Below are 12,460 nucleotides of genomic sequence, written 5' to 3'. Positions count from 1 at the left end.
AATTAATTTGGGAAATGAAGTCATTTTTTCTATGCAAGAACATGACACTGCTTTTTTTATTTCTCTGAGTATTAGCAATGTTTCTTAAGAAAGACCTCATATTTATTAGTAAGTTCATTTCTGATTAGATTATACCTTTTTGTTGCTATTATGAATAAAATGTTTTCTATTATTTTCTAACATTATTTTATGTAAGAAAATTCATGACTGAAGCTTATAATAAAGTTCTAATAATTTATTAATTGATTTTCTTTATTTTAAAGTTATAGAATTATATCTACAAATAATAGTAATCATAATAGCTAATTTCTATTTAATACTTACTGTAAACATATGCATATTCCAAGCGCTTTGCAGTATTATCTTCTTTGAAATAACCCTGAAATATAGATACCATTAATATCACATTTTACATATAAGTAAACTGAGACACTTAATTCCCAATTTTACTCTCTGCTTTTCTGATGGTTGTGCATATTATATTTCTTGCCTTTTTCCATTGGCTAGAGCTTCTGGAAATAGGTGAACTACCAGAGATTATAGATAACATCCTATTTCTGTTCTTAAGTTTAATCTGCACATCTCCAATGCTTTATTGGTAAATACATGTTTGTTGATTACAGGTATATATTCTTTAATATGTTACATAAATACCTTTTTAATTTATTTAAATTTACTGAATTTTTGAAATCCAAAATAAGTATAAAATCATAGAGCATATTTTACTCAACTATTCTGATACTCATATGGCATTTCTAATTTGAACTATTAACATGATATATCAATAGATCTTTAATACTAAATTTTAAATCTGCATTGTGTTTCTCTAAGTTTCTGAAAATTATGACATCACATTCTTATAATGGCAAGATTTCTCCCAATAACCTAATCTTTTGTCTGAATTTGTCCAAAAAAAGAGATTTTCATGTCAATTACTGTGTTTCTCCTTGATTGAGGGTTCAAAGGTATGGCTATAACTAACAAGTAAGGTTTCTTAACATCTATAATGTTCCAAAATCAATAAATACCAAGAGATCAAACTGAAAGAAATAAATTCTCATCTTATAGTTTTAAGATTCACACTGTTCATCTCTGTCTTATATTTTTTATTGTATTTTCCATAACCCACTGTTTCTCTTTTACATGTTCACAAGTTCTAAATTCAAACATTTTCCTTTCCTGCCCTCTTCCCTTCCTTCTTACACACTGCAAAAGAGAAATAGAAGAGATCGAACTTGCACAAGAATCACAGTTTTGAATAGCTGCTGGGTGGTTTAGAAGGAGAAACTACTTAGTTGTAACTTCCCAGGGAGCATGTGATTAGGCAAGGCCTAAAGCTGTAAGGGCATACACCAAAGTATAAGGAGATCACAGGGCACAGTGACCCAGATTTTTACATGTGAACCATCTCAAATGACCTAAGACTAATACCTTTGGGATGTGTATGTTGGGATGAGAAATAGGTGTCAACATGTGTTTGGGACTCTATGAAATTAGGTAGTATTTTGGAGACCCTTTAAAAGAAAAAAAAAAAAAAAATATATATATATATATATATATATATATTTTTGGCTATTGTCTTGCTTAATTTTAATAGATGTCAATAAAGACTAAGGTGAATTACTTACTATCTATTTTTATTGAATGAAAGTATCACAAAAGTGAGTTACCTGTAGACATATGACCATAGAGTATATATTTCTTACATTTATTTGTATATGGTATTAAATTTAAGGGACTTCAAATTGGCTTATTCCACTAATTTTTGAGGGGATATAATTTCCAAAATGGGCAATTATCTTTTCTTAGGAATCAAATTATGTCATCCTCCCAAATTCCTATGCTGAAGACCTAAGCCCTAGACTTTAGAATAATATGAGCTTATTGGAAATTGGGTCATTGGAAACATAATTATTTAAGATGAGTTATAGTAGAGTAGACCCCTAATTCCAATATGACTGATGTTCTTATAAAAAGGGAAGATTTGGACACAAAGGCACACTCAGGGGGAGAATACCCTGTGAAGACTGAAGTTATGTTGCTGTAAGCCAAAGAAACGCCAGAAGCTAAGAGAAGGTCTTGGAACAAATCCTTCCCTACTGCCTTCAGAAGAGGATAATCCTGCTGATACCTTGATTTCAGACTTCTGACTTCTAGAACCATGGGAAAATAAATTTCTGCAGTTCCAAGCCACCCAGTTTATGGTACTTTGTAATGGCAGCCCTAGCAAACTAATATAGCTTCCAATTGTATCCACTAAGTTGACTGACTTTACTCTTTAAAAACAAACAAACAAACATAAACATTATGATAGTTTATGATATATGTTGTGAATGACTGCCCAATAAAAAGAATCTTAGGTAACTGTTTTGTAAAATCAACACAATATAAATGTTAAGCTATTAAGAATACTGGCTAATGGAATGAATGCACTCTATTATTCTCATTTTAAGTAAAACTCATTTTCTTTCCATGAGTTTTATTTTAATTAAGAATCAAATTGTTCATAACACTCCTGACAAACCCCTTATCCCAGCTGACCTGCTGACAGATCTGTATATTCTAAGTGGTACAATTTTAAGAATCTCAATGGCATCCTTTTACATTCATGATTATTCTTCTTAGACAAGGGTTGTTGAATTAAGTCAGCTATGAAATAGCTATAACTTTAGGCATTTATAACAATATTAAACCACTCATTTATCCAGAAGCTTAGAAAACAGTATGTTGTAGATAATCTGATATTTTGGATTTAAAGCATTAGAATACATTTAACAATAGTCTCTATAAAATATATATCAATCTACTTTTGATTCAATACTTTATAGTATTTTGGCTGGGCGCAGTGGCACACACCTGCAATCCCAGCACTTTGGGAGGTGGAGGCAGGAGGATCACTTGAGGCTAGAAGTTTGAGACCAACTTGGGCAAAATGGTGAGACCCTGTCTCTACAAAAATTTTTTAAAACATTAGCCAGGAATGGTGGCACATGCCTGTAGTCCCAGCTACTCAGAAGGCTGAAGCAGGAAGATTGCTGGGGAGTTTAAGGTGCCTGGGAAAATTGCCCAGGAGGTTAAGGTTACAGTGAGCTATGATCATGCCACTACACTCCAGACTAGGGAACAGAGCAAGACCCTGTCTCAAAAAAAAAAAAAAAAAAAAAAAAAAAAAGTATAATATCTCAAAGTAACCATTGAAAAATTAATTATTCTTGAATAATTTTGAAGGTGGGTTGGATGACCTACTATGGTCATCTGGATTTTGTGTAAAATATAGTCCTATTTCAGTTATTTGTCTTCCAAATTAAGGGAAATTGAATTTTGAATAAACATCAATTGAAATGATCATTTATAATTCAGTGAAAAGAGTAGAGACAATTGATGAGTATTTATGGAGTGGCATCTGGGCACTGAAAGTGGGAATTTAAAAGTTAAAAAGACAAAAAAAAAGAGAGAGAAGCTAATCACCCCTCCTGCAAATTTTTATTAAATTGAACAGCTACAGGATTCCGGTATGTTTAGTTGTTGATGTGGCTGTTAGCTGGCCATGAGTTTTAATCTTTTTAGAAAATTTAATTGTAAGTTCAGTAAACTGCTATATGATTCTTTGATAAACTACCCATGTACATTTTTTTTTAACACATGGAAATAATAAAATATGAAAATAAGGAAACATAAAGTATCTCCTTTAGAGATACCTCAGCAAGGCATTCACACATATTGAAAGCCAGCTGAGCCTGCCCTGGTGGCTGAGCGTGTGACCATGCACAGGACAAGGTTTTGCGCTGCCAGTGAGACTATGTCTTCTCCATCTTCTGTGTTGATACAAATGTTAAATGCTGCTTTAAAGTCTTCATGGTAGTAAAAGCAGTCCTTGAAAATCTATATAGTTAAATATTTAGAACTATGACATTCCAAAGAACTAACCATATGGTTGGTAATTTTGGAGATCAGTTGCCCTGAATGCTGAAATAAACCTTAAAATGGCAATGGAGAAATGATTTTTTTCTAATTCTATTAAAATGCACATTCCAAATTTCCCTTTCTCAAGATATTTAATGAGTACCAACCGTAACTGAAAACGGTCCAGCTCACAGGAAGAACCCTGAGGAATACCAACATTTATGGAGGAGCAAAAGCAAAGGAGCTTGCAAAGGGACCAGAATATAAGGGGAAATATAAACATAGACAAAGATCTTGTGATATTGCTGATGCCAAGGGTAGAAAGCTTTTCGAGAAGGAAGGGACCATTCTTCAACCCCAGTGAAATGCTGATTCAGGCAAGGGCTCAACAATGGCCGCTAATACCACTAGGCAAAAGATTATTTGCACATATTAAAATATCACTCCACAAGTTGCAAAGGGAAAAAAAATTTATATATATATATATATATATATATATATATATATATATATATATCTATCTTTAGAAAGAAAAACCTGGCAGACATTACTGTCACCAAATGACCAAACTGAACGTCACTAATAGAGGGTCCATCTGACTTAGGGGCCTACTGCCAGGGTGTAATATGAAACAATCAGTATCACCTATGAAGAAATTGTCTCCAAAGAATGTTTAAACTGTATCTCCTGTTTATAGCAAATTCAGGGATTAGAAGAATAATGTGTGAAAACAGGATGAAATGAAATGTGGGCCATTCCAAAGGCAACTGACCTACACTGTTTAACAGGTCAAAGTCATCATGGAAGACAGTGAGGAACTCAAGATTATAAGAGTTTAAAGAACATAACAACAAAATGCACTGTCTGATACCTGAGTATGAGCTTATACAAGAAGTAAAATAGCTAAAGACCTTTCAGGGACAATTAGGAAATATGAATATGTACTGTATAACGCTTTGTGTTATGGGAAAATGTCATTATGCTTAGAAAGTACAAGCTGAAGTACTAACATTTGAAGGTGTGTGCATGACATGATATTCACAATTTACCTACACAATCATTTAGCAAAATATATGCTAGACACAGCAAATGGCAAGGTCGCAAAGATTACTGAAGAATCTAGGTGGTGTGCCGAGACCAGCTCGGTTGGGATACCCTAACCCAGCAGGGCTAGAGGAATTAAAGACACACACACAGAAATATAGAGGTATAAAGTAGGAAATCAGGGGTCTCACAGCCTTCAGAGCTGAGAGCCCCGAACAGAGATTTACCCACATATTTATTAACAAGCCAGTCATTAGCATTGTTTCTATAGATATTCGATTAACTAGAAGTATCCCTTATGGGAAACGAAGGGATGGGCCGAAATAAAGGTATGGGTCTCCCTAGTTATCTGCAGCAGGAACATGCCCTTAAGGCACAGATCGTTCATGCTATTGTTTGTGGTTTAAGAACGCCTTTAAGCGGTTTACCACCCTGGGCAGGCCGGGTGTTCCTTGCCCTCATTCCGTTAAACCCACAACCTTCCAGCATGGGTGTCATGGCCATCATGAACATGTCACAGTGCTGCAGAGATTTTGTTTATGGCCAGTTTTGGGGCCAGTTTATGGCCAGATTTTGGGGGGACTGTTCCCAACAGTGGTGGGCATAAATGTAATCATTGTATGATTTAAACTTTATGTTTTAAATTCTTCCTAAAAAAAAAGTGTCACTGGGGATAAAGAGTGTTAAATGCTGCTGAAAGATTCAGCAACATAGGGACAGATTTAGCAGGAGGAGGTTGTTTCCTTTGTGAGGGTACTTATTTCACCACGTAACAATGAATTGAAAAGTAAACCAGGGGTGAAACAAAAAAAGAAATAGTATGTTTAGGCAACACTTGGAAGAAATTAACAGTTATGAAGTAGAAAGAAGTCAGTCTAAAAATGAAAGGAAATGTATATTTAAAGGAAGTATTTTACTTTTTTATTTTGATGTTTTGCCTGGAGTTTTTTTTTTTTTTTTTTTTTGCCATTTTTGGGGGGTGTTAGTTTACTCTCATATTAAGAAGGAAAAAGGTGACTGTTTTCAGCTGTGATAGGGAAGTATCAGTAGAGAGGCAGAAGAATCAGAGGAGTGGAGGGGCTATTTCAAGGATTTTGGAATTAGATGGATGTGAATAAGGAACTAAAACAAAAGGAGGCGAAAAAGGATTTTCTCTGAATCTCATGAAACTAGTTTGAACCCTTCCTCAACCCCCACAAAATTATATAAACAAAGACCCTATAAAGCCTGTATCTGCATGTATAGTAAGGTATTAAATTGGAACAAAAATGTGCAAACCTCTTGAACATATAAAATAAAGCTTCTCAAACTTCAACAAGCCTGGAAATCACCTCAAAGAGCTTATTAATACACAGACTCCTGAGGAGTAGTATACCTTCCCCTTAATTATGAGGACTCTGAGATTCAAAAAAATTACGTGAGTTCCTAAGATCACACAGCTATTGGTGGCCTAGCTGGTACTAGGTCTCATGTACTGATTTCACTGATCTTTCTTTTCTGTACCGTGCATGCTCTATATTACTAGCCTCTATTATTTATATTATCAGAAAACCTCTACCTATCCTTATTAGAGCTATGAAAAAAAAATTAGTCTTACTGATTCCCTCGAGTAAAATGCAAATTTTGAGAAATTTAAACTGAATTATCTAACCATATTTTCATTTGCTAAAGATAAGGATTTTTCCCCCCACCTTGTTTGTTTTGTATTTAATGGAGACATTGTGGAATTTTAGATAACACAAACCTTCTTTTGAGTGAATTGGATTTTACTGCTGCCCAACAAATTACCACATTAAGACAATATAAATTTACTATTTCACAATTTCCACGGGTTGAGAGTCTAGACACTGGTTAGCTGAGTTCTCTGCCCAGGGTCTCATCAGGCTGAAATCAAGGTGTTGGAGAAGGTTTCTATCTCATTTGAGGCGTTGGGATCTTCCTCCACATTCACCGACTGTTGACAGAATTTTCTTCCTTTAGTTGTAGAACTCAGGGTCCCTGCCTTCTTATGGGCTGTCGTGTTCCCTGACAGTTTTCTTTGAAGCTAGAGGACAATCTCTCTCTTCAGTGGGTCAAGTCGGTCTCATACAATGTAATCTGATCATGGAGTGACTCTCCCTTTGCTATATGATGTAAGCTAATCTGGGACTGATAAGTGACTATCTCATTATATCCACAGTCCCACCCACATTCAAGGCATGGGAATGTTGGGGCCACCTTAGAGTTCTGCCTACCACATGCAAAGATGTCTGAAAAGTTACCTCTAGGTTATATACTTGGTAAGACTTCAATGTTTTCTAATAATTATATTTCAAAAATTTTTTTGAGATTCAAACCAACAAAGATTTTTCCCTACATGGTTGTTTTAAGTCTGTTCTAATAATCAAGCAAAAACATAGAACAAGCATTCCATTTTGGTCAAACAATGAGTTTGTTACCTGCCTTTGATGTGATTGTAGTTACCTCCTCTGCTAATATTGCTCCTCATTTATAGAGAATCTGTAATAGCTTATTTTGGGAGATTATAAAATTTGTAATATGTATATTTCTGTAAATATTCAACTCTGCCTTGTAAAAAAGTAAGCTATGATCCTGTCTGAAAGTTGAATGAGACATGAGTTTATAATTTAGTATTGTGTTATTTAAGAAGAAAACTGTGATATAATAATAAAAATTAAAACACTACAGGAAATATGTGTCTGTGGCAATTGTGGGTGCTAATTATGTTGTCAGCTGGAAGAGTGAAAATCTGGCCTTCTAAATTTTGGTCATGGCAGGTTGGCCATGGATCTGATTTTTCTTTTTTATCTATTGTTATTAAAATGTATGTGTTTGTAGTCCTAAATATCTTTGCTCCTTTAGACTTTTTTGTATTATTTTGAATATGGAAATGCAGATTGAATCACACTCACTCATTTGGATCCCAGAACTGCATGGCTTAGCAAATTCACTAGAGGGTTTTTTTAAAAGCTGAGTAGTGTGAACTGGATGCTTAAAGAGTGTCTAGGGCTTTGATTGCAGTGGGTAAGCTTTCAAAAGTCAGAGGATCTCTATTAGTACAGCACATATAAAAAGCGGTGGTTTTGCCTTTTGGCACTTAAAAGATGTTAATCTATTTCAATACTCACCAGTAAATATGTCCATCAGTTAAGCTTAAATGCACTGAGAATTAAAAAAAAAAAACAAAAAACAAACAAAAAAAACACTTAAGAAAACCACTTATCCTAATGCTTTGTAAAATCTACAAGATGCTGTTCAGTGTGTAAATATTTATTGTGGCTATGATTTAAAAATAAGACTCTGAGTTCCTAAACATTCTGATTTTTAGAAACAAGAGAGGTTTTTCATGTAGGAAATTTAGTAGATACTGTTATCAAAATAGGAAAATTTAATACAAAACTTACATGGGTGTTTGGCTTACTAATTTAGAGGAACACAGTCAAATGCTGTAAAATCTTTGAAGAGATTTATTCTGAGCCAAATATGAGTGACCATGGGCTGTGACATATCCCTTAGGAGGTCCTGAGAACATGTGCCCAAGATGGTCGGGGTGCAGGTTTGTTTTATACATTTTAGGGAGGCATGAGACATCAATCAAATACATTTGAGAAATACATTGGTTTGGTCCAGAAAGGCAGGGCAATTCAATGTGTCAAGGTGGGGGAACTTTCAAGCTCTAGGTAAATGTAAACATTTTCTGGTTGACAACTGGTTGACTTTGTCTAAAGACCTGGGATCAAAAAAAAGGAAATGTTCAGGGTAAAAGACTGTGGAGACCAAGGTTCTATTGAAGTCTTCTAGTGGCTGCCCTTAGAGACAATAGATGACAAATATTTCCTCTCCAGCCCTTTTTAAAGGTGCTAGACTCTCGGTTAATCTCTTCAGTATTGGGAGGGCCTGGAAAAAAAAGATCTAGTTCTTTAACAGAATAGTGATTCTTTACAGATACAAATTTTCCCCCACAAAAGACAGCTTTGCAGGGCCACCTCAAAATATGGCAAAGATATATGTTTTGGGGTAAAATATTTTGATTTTCTTCTATGTTACATAATGTTATGCCAGAGTCAGATTGGAAAGTAAGTCACAATACATACGGTTAAATAAAACCTGCCAGATGAGAATTCATGGTTTGTAAGGCATGACTCCCCAGACCCCTTACATAGGAATTTGGGCAAGGTAAAAAAAAATCAGAGCTTAGTCCTCAGTCTCCCCTCTTGGCCAAAAACATTCCATAGAATGCATGGGCAGGCCAATAAACAGCAGCAGGTCTCAGGGTGCTAGGAAGGCTCATTTCTAGAGTTGTCTGATTTGATGGTAATCGTTTTAAACAGCAGCAATTTGGATAATGGCAGGAGGACATGCCCTGACCTGATGTAATAGCCAATTGTGTAAGGGGTGAGATGGAGTCAGGCCTAGGGTTTAGTCTAAAAAAAAGAAGAAAAAATCCTGGATCAGATGTATTTTGTGAGCTATCATGATCTGAGTCTTCAATTGTGCCTTTTTTCATTTTGCTGAGTCTGACATAACACTTACAAGAGATATAAAATGCTAATATAGTAACAAATATCAAAAAGATAGTCAAGATTAGGCATCCAAGAAGGTTATAAGTGAAATCAGAGGGCAGTAAACAACCCAAGCAGCCAAAAAATAATCCCTGCTTGCATCCTTATATTCTTTGATCAGACTCACAGTGTGTTTACCTTCCTTATCAGGGTTATTTAAACCTTATCATAAATCTTATTTGAGGATTGTAGGACCAGCATTAAATCAGAATTCAACAAATTTAATCTCTCTTCAGGCTAATTTATCTCCATAGGTATGACATCCTGAGGAGGTTATAAATCAAATCCAAGAAACACCTGATCCTCAGTGTCTAAATTGTCATAAAGGGCCTGGTTTGGTGGCTGAAACCTGTAATCCTAGCACTTTGGGAGGCTGAGGCAGGCAGATCACTTGAGGTCAGGAGTTGGCAACCAGCCTGGCCAACATGGTGAAACCCCATCTCTACTAAATACAAAAATTAGCCAGGAATGGTGGCAGGTGCCTGTAATCCCAGCTACTTGAGAGGCTGAGGCAGGAGAATCACTTGAACCTGGGAGGCAGAGGTTATCGTGATCTGAGATTGAGCCACTGCACTCCAGCCTGGACAATGAGTAAGACCCTGTCTCAAAAAATATATACATAAATAAATCGTCATAGGACTTGTTATCAGTAGACAAATCTATTTTTCTCACTGCTTTTGTATTGTACCCTATACTGATGTTTTGGGGAGAGAAAAGGAGGTTTTGTCACAGGAGAAGTCATATAACTCTACAGTGTTTTTTTTGTTTTGTTTTGTTTTGTTTTTTGTCCCTTGGCAGGACTCCCTATGGCAGAGGGACTTATAGTCAGTTAATTATTCTAGGCCAGATAGGAATGGATGTGGACAGGTATTCATCACCTCTTAAAATTATTATTTTAAGTAAAAAGCCAATGAACAAAACCAAAAGTCAAAGTTATAAGACTGACTTATTTTTAACTTCTATGTGTTGAGCTACTGTAAGTTTGGTTTGTGTTACAGGCTTACAGCAATTAGCTATAGAAAACATAAGCATTGTTCTGCAAAAGAATTTTAAAATATGTATCTAGATAAAAATATATTTCTCTTCACAACTCATAATTGGGATAAATACCCAGGAGGCTTTGTTGCAAGGTATTTTTATCCTGTTAGTAAATATTTTCCTTTAATTCTATAGTAAGTAGAAAATTCCTTATGGTTGGAGTGGATGCAAAGGTGACACATAATAGTTTAGAAGGCAACTAAACTTGTCTTACCAGCTGTTTAGGCATCTTTGTATCCCTTCTTGATTTGCAGGGTTTGACCTTGACCTAATTTTATCCCTCAAAATCAGCCCTTAAAATTTCACGCACTCACCTCTTCCTCGATAGTCCCTGGGCCTAGAGGGAGGGTGCTTGTATAGTTTTAGCATCAGAGCATTTGTAGTGAAACACATCTAGGCCCAGTGGGATGCCAAATAAGGCAGATTCCTATCTCTGGTCTTCAGAACACCATGATTTTGGTTTCCTTGGAAGTATAGTTTGACAATTTTAAGAGTAATTTGTGTGTCAGAATAGAAAAAGGAACCCATTCCGTTAGGCCACCAAGTAAAAATATGATGAAAAATTATAATCTGGTGCTCTCTAGAGGATTATTGTAGCCAAGAATAATTATTCAATCTGTGATCGAAAAAACAACTTAGGGCTAAAATCTAACACTATGTGTTATGCTTTTCCTTTGAAACAATTTCTTGAGCTGCTTTTTTTTTTCTATTAAAGATAAATTATAGCAAGACCAATTAGTGTGCAAGGTAAGTTTTAGGCTTATTATGCTTGCCTGATTATTTGCATAAAATGCAGCAAGAATTAATTGACCATATAAACTCCTTTTAAATTGGCTTTGCTGGAACTTTATTTAAAAATAGTGTATTCTAGTCTAAGCCTCGATAAAATAACCAGTGTCTCTAATTGTTTTGTTTTAAAACTTATATCGAACTTACGCAAACAACTATATTGTCATAAAATTGCGATCTGAATTTTAGAGAACTTAGAAAGATAAGTTTGCTTATAAAAACATACTTCACCCAAATAACTTAAAAGATTTTCTTGACCCTTCTTTTACCAGAGCAGCAGCTTTTAAACAAGATGTTTGTTTACCTTGAAAATACCATTTGCAAACCAAACAGCTCAGGAGAGCTGTCTATCAGACACTGTAGAATTTGGCAGCTCCTCATAATTAGTTCTAGGAAAGAGGCTTTCTGCTTATCAGTTAGCAAGATTTTACATAATATTTTTTTTTGTCACAGAACTCTTCTGGAAAATATTATTTCCATTAGCATAGGGGTAGCTTCGGATAACATTCCATCACAAGGCAGTAAATGCCCCACCAAGTGGAAATTCTCTAGTTCAGTCATTGTTATCGAAAAGTACAGTTTATTTTTGGCATCAGCCCCAATAAACGCTCAGCACAAAGGGCCATGCACTGGAGGATTTGTCCCGACTAGCACTCCAGCTTTTACCCTATACTTTGTGGGCTCAGGCAATTTTACTAGTTCCCATTTAGTGTGTTCAGTTAACATTTCCTAAAAGAGCAGATTTACTTGCCTTCAGTTTTATAGTACTGGAAAGGGGTAACATCCCCAGTCAGATGCATTACCCATTTTCATAAGACATTTAGGTAAAGGGGTTACAACTACCTTATGTAAAGCTTGTTTAAATATCTTAATTTTTATAATTATAATTATATAATTTTATAATTAACCTGTATGTTTTTATGTTCTGATCCCAGGAACCCTTTTTAACCTTCAGACCATTTTACCTTTTCTGGTGAAAAGGAGTTTGGGATTCCCAGTAGGGAGTTGCATCTGTAAGACCTATGAGAGACAGCAAATTTGATAAGGCTTCCTAAATAATCCTATGATTCTGTGGAAGGGGCACCAATGTAAAAGGGGCCCCCTTAGCCCCAGACTTACTGTGA

The 12,460-nt window shown here is 35.3% G+C and overlaps 1 protein-coding gene and 1 long non-coding RNA gene across 13 annotated transcripts in view; one reads left to right on the top strand and one right to left on the bottom strand.

Moving 5' to 3' along the window:
• Window positions 1–12,460, top strand: part of MAGI2 (membrane associated guanylate kinase, WW and PDZ domain containing 2) — a 1,436,613-nt gene that overhangs the window by 280,358 nt on the left and 1,143,795 nt on the right. The gene's annotated exons all lie outside the window — the stretch shown is intronic.
• Window positions 1–12,460, bottom strand: part of LOC105375366 (uncharacterized) — a 37,408-nt gene that overhangs the window by 3,887 nt on the left and 21,061 nt on the right. Inside the window, exon 2 of the long non-coding RNA XR_927698.3 lies at window positions 325–379. This is a non-coding gene — a long non-coding RNA (uncharacterized LOC105375366). The remainder of the gene's footprint in view (window positions 1–324; window positions 380–12,460) is intronic.

This window comes from Homo sapiens, chromosome 7 (assembly GCF_000001405.40).
Source record: "Homo sapiens chromosome 7, GRCh38.p14 Primary Assembly".
NCBI lineage: Eukaryota > Metazoa > Chordata > Mammalia > Primates > Hominidae > Homo > Homo sapiens.
Note: the sequence above shows the minus strand (reverse complement) of the source record. Positions and strands in the feature narration are given on the sequence as shown.